Source organism: Homo sapiens, chromosome 11 (genome assembly GCF_000001405.40).
Source record: "Homo sapiens chromosome 11, GRCh38.p14 Primary Assembly".
Taxonomy (NCBI): domain Eukaryota; kingdom Metazoa; phylum Chordata; class Mammalia; order Primates; family Hominidae; genus Homo; species Homo sapiens.
In genome coordinates this window covers 87,160,697-87,176,982 of record NC_000011.10, presented here as the reverse complement: position 1 = coordinate 87,176,982, position 16,286 = coordinate 87,160,697, and the positions used below count along the sequence as shown (strand labels likewise).

Below are 16,286 nucleotides of genomic sequence, written 5' to 3'. Positions count from 1 at the left end.
AGCCAGATTTGCACTCAGCACTGGCTAATGGGACACTTTAAACAATAAGAAAAGAAAGTTGTTATATGCATGGGATGCACTGTTTTTTAACCCTTGAGCTTTCCCTCTTGATACTGTCCTTTAATTCTCTTCTTGAAACCACCTTCCTGAAAAAAGAGGTATACATGTGTAAAATCTTATTCATCCTCCCCTCTCATTCACTCACTCCCTAACCCACTATAACCTGACTTCAATCCCAGCCATTAGGCTAAAACCACTACAGTGAAAATCACTAAACCAGACTTTTATCAAATTCCTTCAACTCTTCAACCTACCTTAACAATCTTTCCCATGGACTTCAATCCTCTAAAATTCAAAGGTATATGGAAATTTGTACAATCTCCTATTTGAAATTAATGACATCTCTTTATCATTAAATACAAATCTTCTCTGTTCTGACCTGCCACATCCCTACTGAACCATCTCAAATAATACTTGCCATTATATAGCAAACTCACTATCTTAGTCCATTTGTGTTACTAAAAAGGAATACCTGAGATTGGGTGATTTATTTTTTTAAAAAGGGATTCATTTGGCTCATGGTTCTGCAGCCTGTACAAGACACATGGGGCTAGCATATGCATATGGTAAGGGCCTCAAGCTGCTTCTCTTCATGACAGAAGGCAAAGGGGAGCCGGCATGTGAAGACATCACATGGGGAGACAGGAAGGGGCAGGGAGGTGCCAGGCTCTTTCTAACAACCAGCTCTCACGGGAACTAACAGAATAGAAACTCACTCATTACCACAAGGAAGGCACCAAGTCATTGATAAGGAATCTGCCCCCATGACCCAAACACCTCCCATTAGGCCCCACCTCCAACACTGGTGATCAAATTTCAACATGAGGTTTGGAGGGTCAAATATCCAAACTACAGCACTTACCTACTGAGAACAAAAAAGTCAATTAAAAATAAAAATGATGTGCAAACAAAATGGTAAAAATTACATTTGGCCATACACATATGTATAAAGTTAAATTTATTTGCTAATTCAAAGTGTTTAAGTTACTTGCCGCTGAACTCACCTAATATTATATGCAAAATTCTTTTGGTATGTTTCTACAAAGAAACATTTTCTATATATCTAAAATCTTTGTTTCTTAAATAAAGCCTGTGTCTTCTAATACATTCAACCACATCTAGCTATACAACCAGAGTAGACAAATTTAAGTTTAGTGGGTGGTTGGTGTAGCGGAGGTACAGCCTTACCCATGTGGAAATAATTGCTTTCTTGACCTAAAGCTCTTCCCATTAGAATCAAAACAAATTGATATGATCTTAAGAACCCTTCTAATTTTTGAAAAATAAAACCTAATTGTTCCATACTTAAACAGATGTTGTTTGTTTTGTTTAAGGACAAAATTATGACACATTTATTTTTGTATTTAAATCAAAAGCAGAGTGACTATTATGAAGAAAATAAGTGAATTTCAAAAGATAATCATCTCAGTGTAGAAAGGCACACACAGAGTTGGTACAGACAAGGCCAACAAACTTAAACATTATGATCTGATATTTTTAAAATCTTGGTTTGACCTTTGGCCTTCTTGGTCTACACCAACTTTTCAAAATAAACTGTTTGTTCATCAGGAGTATGCAATAATGCATATAACACAGTAAGCTATTTAAAGCAGATTTAGTGACAAGGATAAAATATTCCAGAAAGAATAAAATACAAATTCTGAAGCTTAATGTTTTATGATGTGATTCTGGCATGAAGTATAAATTTTCTAAGAACCTGCCAAAATATAATATGTTGTTTTGATTCATGGAATTGGAGAACTGAAATAAATATCAAGATATTATTATAATTAGTCCAGTCTTCTTCCTCTTGTGGTTCAGTATCTATACCATCCAGACTTATGGCTATTAAAAGATACATTTCTTCTACATGAGCAAGATATTAATAGTAACTCCACAACCTTCTTGAAGCCTTTTTTAATGCTTTATCACCCTGAAAGTGATGACCAGTGGCTTCAGTTATCTCAAACTTTCTGTTCTGTGTTCAAAACTAATTTCTTCCCACCACATTAGAGATAGGATTGGGATGTCTCTGTATATACAGTAAATCTGAACATAATGTCCTTGATAGGTTCTTGACAACTGCTATTTTAAGTGAAACAATGTATGACAAACAAAACTATTTTTCCCCTCATCAATGTTATAACAAAAGGGCATTGAACAAAGGGATATGATTGGAGGACCTGCTGTAAGCCATTTCACTTAAAGTCACAGTTTCCAAGGAGCTATCGATGACATGACGTGAGGACTTACTGTACCTTGCTTATAATAAATACTCCCTAGGCCATATCATATCTCTTTCCTTTTTCTCAAGATTCTTTTCCATACTTATTTCCTCTCTTCTTCTCTAGATGCTATCCATTCTCCCCACATGCTTTTTAACACTGCTATATTTGAATTGCTGCTTAAAAAGGAAAAATCATTCTAACTCTTCTAGGCTATATTCTAATAGATTATGTAGAGCTTACTAAGTATACACTTTGAAAACCAACAACAGAAGAATAAAAGAATAGACTTGAAAAAGTTATCAGGAACATTCTAGAGTGGTCAGAATTCTTTTTTTTCCTACATGATATGGGGATATTGGCAGAAGTGAATCATGTTAATAGAAAGTATATTTCAATGGCAATAGACATGTGTAAGGTATCTTAATATTTTCTTCCCATTAAAATATGATAGATAAATCAGAGGTCTTATTGCAAAAGTGATAATCCAATTTTCTTTGACAGGATCAACTAAGCCTTAGTCTGCATTTCTAGAAGGCCAGTGTCTCATCAATCTCAGTGGGACTTCTGCTCAACTAAGACTTGCAATTATCAAAACTAAGTTTTCACCATGTTATAACTTTACCCTGTTTGGCTAACAGTATTCTCATGTTTGTTTGTACAAGTCAGTTTTTTCTATTATTGCACTTCCCTTGTTATATTTACTTTATGCAAAGAAACAAAAACATGATCAGCAGAATTTGGTTGAGTAGTACACATCAAGTTTGTGATTAAACATGTTTTGTATATTACTGAGATACTGGCACTAGACAGCAGAGCGCACTGGCAACAAATGCCAACCCAAATATCATGACTCACACAGGAAGGAAATAATCACTCAGAAGTGCCAATAACACTGCTATTAGTATAGCTGTGGATCAAAATATCAAAACTCTGTCTTTTATTATCAACTACCAGTTCACACACTGTTATAAATAAACATAAGATCTCCATTTACTCACCCCAATATAGAAAATAATACAACATATGTAATAAAATAAAAATAAGTTAAGATTTAGAACAGGCTAATTCTAATAGGCTTATTTTGTGGCAGACATGTGGCAGACATTGTGCTAGCTGCCTTACAGACATTATCTAATTTATTTCTCACAAAAGCAATGCATGAGCTTGCTGCTGGTCTGTTTACAGAAGACAACACTGGCAAGGTCCTAAGTAGCAGGTTATGACTCAGCCACTAGACTATAAAACTTTTTGAAAGCTGAAACCATTTTGGTTTAGTTTACAATTAAAACCCAGTATCTACTAATCTACCTCATAATAATTATTCAGGGGAACAAAGAAAAAAGAAGGAACACTAGATCTGATTCCAGTGCCACGCATCACATTTGCCTTTAGGACGCTATCAATGAATATTTGTTTATTTGATTAGATTTTACAAGCCACCAGTTCCTGGCATTCTACTAGGCATCAGTCTCAGAGATTTCACTACTTGAACTACTTGAACTAATACTTTGCTTATTAAAGACTTACATTTTTTCCTGAGGTAGTGCTAGAAGGGAAGCAGTAAAGACAAAAATAATAACAAAAATATATAAGAAAAAATAGATGCAACATTAAAAATATATATTTGAGAGTTTACTTCTAGGTTTCCTTGTATAAAGAATTCACATTCAACAGTAAGAAAATGCTTGGTTTCTTTAAATATAATATTAAAATTAAGTGTAATAATTTTAGTAATGTTGGAAATATATCTTAATATCTGAATAATCAAGTATCTTTGTGCATAAGAAATATCAAATATGTAAATTGTATTCTTTAAATATTATTTAATTATTTAATTCACGAATATTCTTCATGAAAAAATTTAATGTCAAAAATAATTATCACTGTATTATAAATATCATGATTTTAAAATAACACCAATATTTATAATTATCCATACAAATCCATAAAGATATACTTATCTTAAATGAAAGCTGATTGAATTAAAGTAGTATTTGCCACTTGAGTTCTGTCTCAATAAATCTTTTACTTATTCATCAGACATATATTGAGATCTTTATTTTGTGCCAGCCAGGTGTTAAACTTTAAGAAATAGAAATCCCTAACAAAGAGTCCCTACTCTCACTCTAGCAATCAGTCTAAAATTAAATATTCTATATTACTTATGTACACCATGCTCCTGGAAGGTTTAAAAAAAATCCATTCTAATAAATCATTCAGAATACCTAATACCGTGTCGTAATACAAAACAAAAGTAGGTAAAAAAAAAAAACCTACTTTTCTTTCTTGCTAAAACAGCAACAAACCTTAATACTCTGTTCTACTTTACATACAAAAATCTTTAAATATACTTTAAATTTCTTTTCTATTTCTTAACCTGTTTTGTCTCATACAGAGTGTACCTTCCTTGAGTTCAAAGAAGAAAGAATTAAAAAATACTTCTAAAACAGTGGTTTACAACAGTAGCTAAGTATTAAAATCAGCGGACATTTTAAAAAATATAGATACTGGAGCCCCAAACTGGACCTCATAGACAAAGTCTTTGGTGATGGAGCCCAGGTACCTATAGTTTTGAAGAGCTCTATGGGCAATTCTCAAGCTCGGTGAAAGTTTATAACCACAACTTTAAAGGCTTAATTAAGCACAGGGGTTCCCAACCCCTGGGAGATGTACAGGTACTGGTCCCTGGCTTGTTAGGAACCAGGCCGCACAACAGGAGGTGAGCAGCAAGCAAGCGAGCATTACTGCCTGAGCTTGGCCTCCTGTCAGATCAGCTGTGGCAGCAGATCCTCATAAGAGTGTGAACCCTATTTTGAACTGCACATGGGAGGGATCTAGGTTGTGTGCTCCCTTTGATAATCTAATGATGATGTGAGGTAGAACAGTTTCATCCCAAAACCAAGCCCCCCGTGGAAAAATTGTCTTCGACGAAGCCGGTCCCTCGTGCCAAAAAGGTCGGACACCACTACCTAGGCAGAAAGGGTATACAAAGCTGCCTGTAAGCAGAAAATGTTAAAGCCATATAGGACCTTAAAGATCATCTAATCAGCTCATTTTCTGAAGTATAAAGCTGAAGTTGTGAGGAGTTCAGTAAACTGTCCAAGGTCTCAGCTAGTAAAGTCTACTGACATGCAGACGAGTATTTTTTCATTATTTCCCTTAGCTGATAATTTTGTCATGAGGTTACCTATGAATCCCTGCTTAACATATATGTTTGCAGTACTGGCTTAGCATAGGACACTGGCTACTCCAGTTGGGAGACAGAATACTAATTCTTGATTCTACCACAAGCTTATCAATACCCTCAGCACTCATATCACAAATTCTCAGGGAAATGTGATTAAAAAAAAAAAAAACACTACACTGTCTTGAACCTGAAATACCTCTTTTGGAAAAACAGTGATAAGAGTACCAAAAATGGAAAGTTGTTTTGATGTATGAATGAGCTGGATAATTATAATGCACCTAGGGCATATAAAGGCATTCAACAAATGTTACTTCCCTTCAACATGACACCACCCACCCTGCTTTCCTTTTAGATTCTGCAATTAAAGTTACCTGTCCCTAGTACCTCACTTTAATCTTCAACTATGCCCCTTTTCATATTGTTTCTCCTAACTGGCAAAGCCTTTTGGCCTCTTCTCCTTGCTTAATGCTCATTAGTTTCTTCAAAGCTCAGTTTGAAGATGTACCCCCTTTGCTCTCTGGCCAGGGCATCTCTGAAAGAAAGCCAGCAGCCCCAGGCAGGGGCTTATAGATAGAACTCCCATCTGCCTGGGACAGAAAACCTGGGGAAGAGGAGGCTGTGGGCCCAGCTTCCACAAACTTAAACGTTCCTGCCTGCCAGCTCTGAAGAGAGCAGTGGATCGCCCAGCACAGCACTGGAGCTCTGCTAAGGGACAAAGTGCCTCCTCAAGTGAGTCCTTGACCCCCATGCCTTCTGACTGGGAGACACCTCCCAGCACAGGTCAACAGACACCTCATACAGGAGACCTCCAGCTGGCATCTGATGGATGCCACTCTGGGACAAAGCTTCCAGAGGAAGGAACACGCAGCAATCTTTGCTGTTCTGCAGCCTCAGCTGGTGAATACCCATGCAAACAGGGTCTGGAGTAGACTTCCAGCAAACTCCAACAGACCTGCAGCATAGGGGCCTGACTGTTAGAAAGAAAATTTAACAAACAGAAAGGAGTAACAACAACATCAACAAAAAGGATGTCCACACAGAAACCCCATCGGAAGGTCACCAACATCAAAGAACAAAGGTAGATACATTCACAAAGATAAGGAAAAACCAGTGCAAAAAGGCTGAAAATTCCAAAAACCAGAATGCCTCTTCTCCTCCAAAGGATCACAACTCCTGGCCAGAAGGAAACAAAACTGGACAGAGAATAAGTTTGAGGAATGACAGAAATAGGCTTCAGAAGGTGGGTAATAACAAACTCCTCTGAGGTAAAGAAGCATGTTCTAACCCAATGCAAGGAAGCTAAAAACCATGAAAAAAGGTTAGAGGAATTGCTAACTAGAATAACCAGTTTAGAGAAGAAAATAAATGACCTGATGGAGCTGAAAAACACAGCATGAGAACTTTGTGAAGCATAAACACATATCAATAGCCAAACTGATCAAGTGGAAAAAGGATATCAGAGACTGAAGATCAACGAAGACAAGATTAGAAAAAAAAAAGACTAAAAAGGAACGAAGGAAGCCTCCAAGAAATATGGGACTATATGAAAAGACCAAACCTATGTTTGATTGGTGTACCTGAAAATGATGGGGAGAATGGAACCAGGTTTGAAAACACTCTTCAGGATATTACCCAGAAGAACTTCCCAACTTAGCAAGACAGGCCAACATTCAAATTCAAGCAATACAGAGAACACCACAAAGATACTCCTCGAGAAGAGCAACCCCAAGATACATAATTGTCAGATTCACCAAGGTTGAAATGAAGGAAAATATGTTAAGGGCAGCCAGAGAGAAAGGTCAGGTTACCCACAACGGGAAGTCCATCAGACTAACAGCAGGTATCTCTACAGAAACCCTACAAGCAAGAAGAGAGTGAGGGCCAATATTCAACATTCTTAAAGAAAAGATTTTCAACCCAGAATTTTATATCCAACCAAACTAAGCTTCATAAGCGAAAAAGAAATAAAATCCTTTACAGACAAGCAAATGCTAAGAGATTTTGTCACCACCAGGCCTGCCTCACAAGAGCTCCTGAAGGAAGCACTAAATATCGAAAGGAAAAACCAGTACCAGCCACTGCAAAAACATACCAAATTATAAAGACCATCGACACTATGAAGAAACTGCATCAACTAATGGGCAAAATAACCAGCTAGCATCATAATGACAGGATCAAATTCACACATAACAATATTAACCTTAAATGTAAATGGGCTAAATGCCCCAATTAAAAGACACAGACTGGCAAACTAGATAAAGAGTCAAGACCCATCAGTGTGCTGTGTTCAGGAGTCCCATCTCACGTGCAAAGACACACATAGGCTCAAAATAAAGGGATGGAGGAAGAATTTACAGAGTAAATGGAAAGCAAAAAAAAGCAAGGTTTGCAATCCTAGTCTCTGATAAAACAGACTTTAAACCAACAAAGATCAAAAGAGACAAAGAAGGGCATTACATAATGGCAAAGGGATCAGTGCAACAAGATGAGTTAACTATCCTAAATATATATGCACCCAATACAGGAGCACCCAGATTCATAAAGCAAGTCCTTAGAGACCTACAAAGAGACTTAGACTCCCACACAATAATAGTGGGAGAGTTTAACACCTCATCGTCCATATTAGATCAACGAGACAGAAAATTAACAAGGATATCCAGGACTTGAACTCAGCTCTGGACCAAGTGACTTAATAGACATCTACAGAAATCTCCAACCCAAATCAACAGAACATACATTCTTCTCAGCACCACATAGAACTTCTTCTAAAATTGACCAGATAATTAGAAGTAAAACACTCCTCAGCAAATGCAAAAGAATGGAAATCATAACAAACAGTCTCTGAGACCACAATGCAATCAAATTAGAACTCAGGATTAAGAAACTCCCTTAAAACCGCACAACTAAGTGGAAACTGAACAACCTGCTCCTGTATGACTACTCGGTAAATAATGAAAGTAAGGCAGAAATAAATAAGTTCTTTGAAACCAATGAGAACAAAGACACAACGTACCAGAATCTCTGGGACACAGCTAAAGGAGTCTTTAGAGGGAAATTTATAGCACCAAATGCCCACAGAAGCACGTGGGAAAGATCTAAAATCAACACCCTAATATCACAATTAAAAGAACTAGAAAAGCAAAAGCTAACAAATTCAAAAGCAAGTAGAAGACAAGAAACAACTAAGATCAGAGCAGAACTGAAGGAGATAGAGATACAAAAAACCCTTCGAAAAATCAATGAATCCAGGAGCTGGTTTTTTGACAAGATTAACAAAATAGACCAGAGCCAGACTAATAAAGAACGAAAGAGACAAGAATAAAATAGACACAATAAAAAAAGATAAAAGAGATATCACCATTGATCCCACAGAAATACAAACTACCATCAGAGAATACTAGAAACACCTCTATGCAAATAAACTAGAAAATCTAGAAGAAATGGATAAATTCCTGGACACATACACCCTCCCAAGACTAAACCAGGAAGAAGTTGAATCCCTGACTAGACCAATAACAAGTTCTGAAATTGAGGCAGTAATTAATAGCCTGCCACCCAAAAAAAGCCCAGGACCTGACAGATTCACACCTGAATTCTACCAGAGGTACAAAGAGGAGCTCGTACTATTCCTTCTGAAACTATTCTGATGAATACAAAAAGAGGTACTCCTCCTCAACTCATTGTATGAGGCCAGCATCATCCTGATACCAAAACGTGGCAGAGACACAACAAAAAAAAGGAAATTTCAGGCCAATATCCCTGATGAACATCGATGCGAAAATCCTCAATAAAATACTGGCAGACCAAATCCAGCACCACATCAAAAAGCTTATCCACCATGATCAAGTCAGCTTCATCCCTGGGATGCAAGGCTGGTTCAACATACACAAATCAATAAACGTACTCCATCACATAAACAGAACCAATGGCAAAAACCACATGATTATCCCAATAGATGCAGAAAAGGCCTTTGATAAAACTCAACACCGCTTCATGCTAAAAGCACTCAAGAAACTAGGTATTGATGGATCATATCTCAAAATAATAAGAGCTATTTATGACAAACCCACAGACAATATCATACTAACTGGGCAAAAGCTGGAAGCATTCTCTTTGAAAATGGGCACAAGACAAAGATGCCCTCTCTCTCACCACTCCTATTCAACATAGTATTGGAAGTTCTGGCCAGGGCAATCCGGCAAGAGAAAGAAATAAAGCGTACTCAAATAGGAAGAGAGGAAGTCAAATTATCTCTGTTTGCAGATGACATAATTGTATATTTAGAAAACCCCATCGTCTCAGCCCAAAATCTCCTTAAGCTGACAGGCAACTTAGCAAAGTCTCAGGATACAAAATCAAGGTGCAAAAATCACAAGCATTCCTACACATTGATAACAGACAAAGAGAACGCCAAATCTTGAGCAAATGCCCATTCACAATTGCTACAAAGAGAATAAAACACCTAGGAATACAACTTACAAGGGATAAGAAGGACCTCTTCAAAGAGATCCAGAAACCACTGCTCAAGGAAATAAGAGATGACACAAACGAATGGAAAAAATATTCCATGCTCATGGATAGGAAGAAGTAATATTGTGAAAATGGCCATATTGCCCAAAGTAATTTACAGATTCAATGCTATCCCCATCAAGCTACCATTGACTTTCTTCACAGAATTAGAAAAAACTACTTTAAATTTCATATGGAACCAAAAAATAGCCCATATAGCCAAGACAATCCTAAGCAAAAAGAACAAAACTGGAGGCATCACACTACCTTACTTCAAACTATACTACAAGGCCACAGTAATCAAAACAGCATGGTACTGGTACCAAAACAGATATATAGGCCAATGGAACAGAACAGAGGCCTCAGAAATAACGCCACACATCTACAACTATCTGATCTTTGACTAACCTGACAAAAGCAAGCAATGGGAAAAGGATTCCCTATTTAATAAATGGTGTTGGGAAAACTGGCTAGCCATATGCAGAAAACTGAAACTGGACCCCTTCCTTATACATTAAACAAAAATTAACTCGAGATGGATTAAAGACTTAAACGTAAGACCTAAAACCATAAAAACCCTAGAAGAAAACCTAAGCAATACCATTCAGGACATAGCCATGGGCAAAGACTTCATGGCTAAACCACCAAAAGCAATGGCAACAAAAGCCAAAATTGAAAATAGCATCAAATTAAACTAAAGAGTTTCTGCACAGCAAAATAAACTATCATCAGAGCAAACAGGCAACCTACAGAATGGGAGAAAATTTCTACAATCTATCCATCTAACAAGGGGCTAATACTTAAATAAATTTACAAGAAAAAAACAAACAGCCCCATCAAAAAGTGGCCAAAGGACATGAACAGACACTTCTCAAAAGAAGACATTTGGTTGGTAAGCTATTGATTATTGCCACAATTTCAGATCCTGTTATTGGTCTATTCAGAGATTCAACTTCTTCCTGGTTTAGTCTTGGGAGAGTGTATGTGTCAAGGAATTTATCCATTTCTTCTAGATTTTCTAGTTCATTCGCGTAGAGGTGTTTGTAGTATTCTCTGATGGTAGTTTGTATTTCTGTGGGATCGGTGGTGATATCCCCTTTATCATTTTTTATTGCGTCTATTAGATTCTTCTCTCTTTTTTCTTTATTAGTCTTACTAGCGGTCTATCAATTTTATTGATCCTTTCAAAAAAACAGCTCCTGGATTCATTTACTTTTTGAAGGGTTTTTTGTGTCTCTATTTCCTTCAGTTCTGCTCTGATTTTAGTTATTTCTTGCCTTCTGCTAGCTTTTGAATGTATTTGCTCTTGCTTTTCTAGTAAAGAGTCCAGGACCAGATGGATTCACAGCTGAATTCTACCAGAGGTACAAGGAGGAACTGGTACCATTCCTTCTGAAACTATTCCAATCAATAGAAAAAGAGGGAATCCTCCCTAACTCATTTTATGAGGCCAGCATCATTCTGATACCAAAGCCAGGCAGAGACACAACAAAAAAAGAGAATTTTAGACCAATATCCTTGATGAACATTGATGCAAAAATCCTCAATAAAATACTGGCAAACCGAATCCAGCAGCACATCAAAAAGCTTATCCACCATGATCAAGTGGGCTTCATCCCTGAGATGCAAGGCTGGTTCAATATACGCAAATCAATAAATGTAATCCAGCATATAAACAGAGCCAAAGACAAAAACCACATGATTATCTCAATCGATGCAGAAAAAGCCTTTGACAAAATTCAACAACCCTTCATGCTAAAAACTCTCAATAAATTAGGTATTGATGGGACGTATCTCAAAATAATAAGAGCTATCTATGACAAACCCACAGCCAATATCATACTGAATGGGCAAAAACTGGAAGCATTCCCTTTGAAAACTGGCACAAGACAGGGATGTCCTCTCTCACCGCTCCTATTCAACATAGTGTTGGAAGTTCTGGCCAGGGCAATCAGGCAGGAGAAGGAAATAAAGGGTATTCAATTAGGAAAAGAGGAAGTCAAATTGTCCCTGTTTGCAGACGACATGATTGTTTATCTAGAAAACCCCATTGTCTCAGCCCAAAATCTCCTTAAGCTGATAAGCAACTTCAGCAAAGTCTCAGGATACAAAATCAATGTACAAAAATCACAAGCATTCTTATACACCAACAACAGACAAACAGAGAGCCAAATCATGAGTGAACTCCCATTCACAATTGCTTCAAAGAGAATAAAATACCTAGGAATCCAACTTACAAGGGATGTGAAGGACCTCTTCAAGGAGAACTACAAACCACTGCTCAAGGAAATAAAAGAGGACACAAACAAATGGAAGAACATTCCATGCTCATGGGCAGGAAGAATCAATATCGTGAAAACGGCCATACTGCCCAAGGTAATTTACAGATTCAATGCCATCCCCATCAAGCTACCAATGCCTTTCTTCACAGAATTGGAAAAAACTACTTTAAAGTTCATATGGAACCAAAAAAGAGCCCGCATCGCCAAGTCAATCCTAAGCCAAAAGAACAAAGCTGGAGGCATCACACTACCTGACTTCAAACTATACTACAAGGCTACAGTAACCAAAACAGCATGGTACTGGTACCAAAACAGAGATATAGATCAATGGAACAGAACAGAGTCCTCAGAAATAACGCCGCATATCTACAACTATCTGATCTTTGACAAACCTGAGAAAAACAAGCAATGGGGAAAGGATTCCCTATTTAATAAATGGTGCTGGGAAAACTGGCTAGCCATATGTAGAAAGCTGAAACTGGATCCCTTTCTTACACCTTATACAAAAATCAATTCAAGATGGATTAAAGACTTAAACGTTAGACCTAAAACCATAAAAACCCTAGAAGAAAACCTAGGCATTACCATTCAGGACATAGGCATGGGCAAGGACTTCATGTCTAAAACACCAAAAGCAATGGCAACAAAAGACAAAATTGACAAATGGGATCTGATTAAACTAAAGAGCTTCTGCACAGCAAAAGAAACTACCATCAGAGTGAACAGGCATCCTACAAAATGGGAGAAAATTTTCGCAACCTACTCATCTGACAAAGGGCTAATATCCAGAATCTACAATGAATTCAAACAAATTTACAAGAAAAAAACAAACAACCCCATCAAAAAGTGGGCGAAGGACATGAACAGACACTTCTCAAAAGAAGACATTTATGCAGGCAAAAAACACATGAAAAAATGCTCATCATCACTGGCCATCAGAGAAATGCAAATCAAAACCACAGTGAGATACCATCTCACACCAGTTAGAATGGCAATCATTAAAAAGTCAGGAAACAACAGGTGCTGGAGAGGATGTGGAGAAATAGGAACACTTTTACACTGTTGGTGGGACTGTAAATTAGTTCAACCATTGTGGAAGTCAGTGTGGCAATTCCTCAGGGATCTAGAACTGGAAATACCATTTGACCCAGCCATCCCATTACTGGGTACATACCCAAAGGACTATAAATCATGCTGCTATAAAGACACATGCACACTTATGTTTATTGCAGCATTATTCACAATAGCAAAGACTTGGAACCAACCCAAATGTCCAACAATGATAGACTGGATTCAGAAAATGTGGCACATATACACCATGGAATACTATGCAGCCATAAAAAATGATGAGTTCATGTCCTTTGTAGGGACATGGATGAAATTGGAAATCATCATTCTCAGTAAACTATCGCAAGAACAAAAAACCAAACACCGCATATTCTCACTCATAGGTGGGAATTGAACAATGAGATCACATGGACACAGGAAGGGGAATATCACACTCCGGGGACTGTGGTGGGGTCGGGGGAGGGGGGAGGGATAGCATTGGGAGATATACCTAATGCTAGATGAGGAGTTAGTGGGTGCAGTGCACCAGCATGGCACATGTATACATATGTAACTAACCTGCACAATGTGCACATGTACCCTAAAACTTAATGTATAATAAAATAAAAATAAAAAAATTAAAAAAAAAAAAGAAGACATTTATAAGGCCAGCAAACATGAAAAAAAGCTCATCATCACTGGTCATTAGAGAAATGCAAATCAAAACCACAATAAGATACCATCTTACGCCAGTTAGAATGGCGATCATTAAAAAGTCAGGAAACAACAGATGCTGGAGAGGATGTGGAGAAATAGGAATGCTTTTACACTGTTGGTGGAAGTGTAAATTAGTTCAACCATTGTGGAAGACAGTGTGGCGATTCCTTAAGGATCTAGAACCAGAAATACCATTTGACCCAGCAATCCCATTAATGGGCATATACATGAAGGATTATAAATCACTCTACTATAAAGACACATGTACACGTATGTTAATTGCAGCACTGTTCACAATAGCAAAGACTTGGAAACAACCCAAATGCCCATAAGTGATAGACTGGATAAAGAAAATGTGGCACATACACACCATGGAATACTATGCAGCCATAAAAGGGATGACTTCATGTCCTTTGCAGGGACACAGATGAAGCTGGAAACCATCATTCTCAGCAAACTAACACAGGAACAGAAAACCAAACACCAAATGTTCTCACTCATAAATGGGAGTTGAACAATGAGAACACATGGACACAGGGAGGGAAACATCAAACACTGGGGCCTGTCGGGCGTTGGAGGGCTAGGGGAGGGATAGCATTAGAAGAAATAACTAATGTAGATGACGGGTTGATGGGTGCATCAAACTACCATGGCACGTGTATACCTATGCAACAAACCTGCACGTTCTGCACATGTATCCCAGAACTTAAAGTATAATAAAAAAAAATTATTTAATAAACTCTCCAAAAAAAAATAAAAGATATACCTCCTTTAAGACATCTTCTGAATTAATTGAACCCCACTTTAATTAGTCATTTATTTCTTTATTATTTAAATTACCTGAGCTTTTAATCCATATACTTGCTTATTCTTTTGAAGTTTAGTAACTGCAATTACTACCTAATTGTTGTGCATGTTTTTTATTTTCTTTCATAATTAGAACATGAGCTATTAATAGGCTAGATTATAAGCTCCCCAAGGCTAGAGATACCGGCCAGTTTTATTCATTGATGCATCACAGGCATCTAAAACAATGTCAGGAATATAGAACTGTTCAATAAATTCTTGCTGAATTAACAGGCAGGTATATTTCTCTTTCCATTCATGAATCTCTCTAAAACTCCAAATATAATGCTAAACACAAATATATGAAAATTTTAAATGCCTGAGTAAATGAAAATAGATATGTCTGGTATTTTAAAAATTTTAAAAATTCAAACAATAGAGCCACAATAGACAAATCAACTCACTGGCTACAGAAGTCACTTAGCTTGTTCATTACATGTTCTCAGTGACTCTCTGTCACTGCTGTAAGAAAGATATATGGTATCAGCTGATAAAAAGAAACTAAATGATTTAATTAAGAAGCAGGGTTTGAAATCCTGCCTTCCTATGGTAAAGAATTGTTAAACTTTGTTCTCTTTCAAAAATTGAGATTAAGAAAAACCAAATGAAAAAACACCAATTTCTGCTTTAGTCTCAAGTTATATGAGAAAAGAGATAATTTTTAAAATATATAAATTTAAGAGAGTAACCTTATCTTCTAACAAAGTACTTGTTTCACCCTAAACACAAACACCCAGAAGGCAGAAGACAGAACTACATCTTTCTGTCAGAAATAGAAAAATACCACTTTTGAACCAAGCACATTCAATAACTACTGATTATTGAATCTGCAGTTCATTCATTAATTTTAATGATTATTTTAAAAGTTAGCCCCTCAAATAGGGAAACCCATTTAAAAAATTCAACCCAGGCCAGGCACAGCGGCTCATGCCTGTAATTCCAACACTTTGGGAGGCGGAAGAGGGCAGATCACGAGGTCAAGAGATGGAGACCATGCTGGCCAACATGGTGAAACCCCATCTCTACTAAAAAAACAAAAATTAGTCAGGTGTGGTAGTGGATGCATGTGGTCCCAACTACTCAGGAGGCTGAGGCAGGAGAATCACTTGAACCTGGGAGGCAGAGGTTGCAGTGAGCCTAGATTGCACCACTGCACCCCAGTCTGGGCGAGAGAGTGAGACTCCATCTCAAAAACAAAATTCAACACAGAAAAATGATCTCCTTTCCAGCTTATGTGAGTCAATTAATGCACAAAGGTCCAGCTACTCCTTATACAGGACTTTATAAAGAACATCACCATAGTTAAACATTTAATGAGGTAATAGATTTGTGAAGGGTATTTTTTTCCTATTCATTTTAAGCCATATATTATTCTGTGAACATGAAAAGATAATAGTAATAATTAGAATG

General features: G+C 37.2%; 1 protein-coding gene across 5 annotated transcripts in view, besides 1 other annotated feature; it reads right to left on the bottom strand.

Annotated features, from left to right (window-relative positions):
* The window catches only part of TMEM135 (transmembrane protein 135), a 290,891-nt gene that overhangs the window by 151,842 nt on the left and 122,763 nt on the right, over positions 1-16,286 (bottom strand). The window lies entirely within an intron of this gene.
* Positions 2,982-3,276: a silencer, noted in NCBI's record as "tiled region #6561; K562 Repressive non-DNase unmatched - State 23:Low". NCBI's record gives its function as "represses a minimal TATA promoter and a strong SV40 promoter by Sharpr-MPRA in K562 cells {active_cell/tissue: K562}" and the evidence as "EXISTENCE:reporter gene assay evidence [ECO:0000049][PMID:27701403]".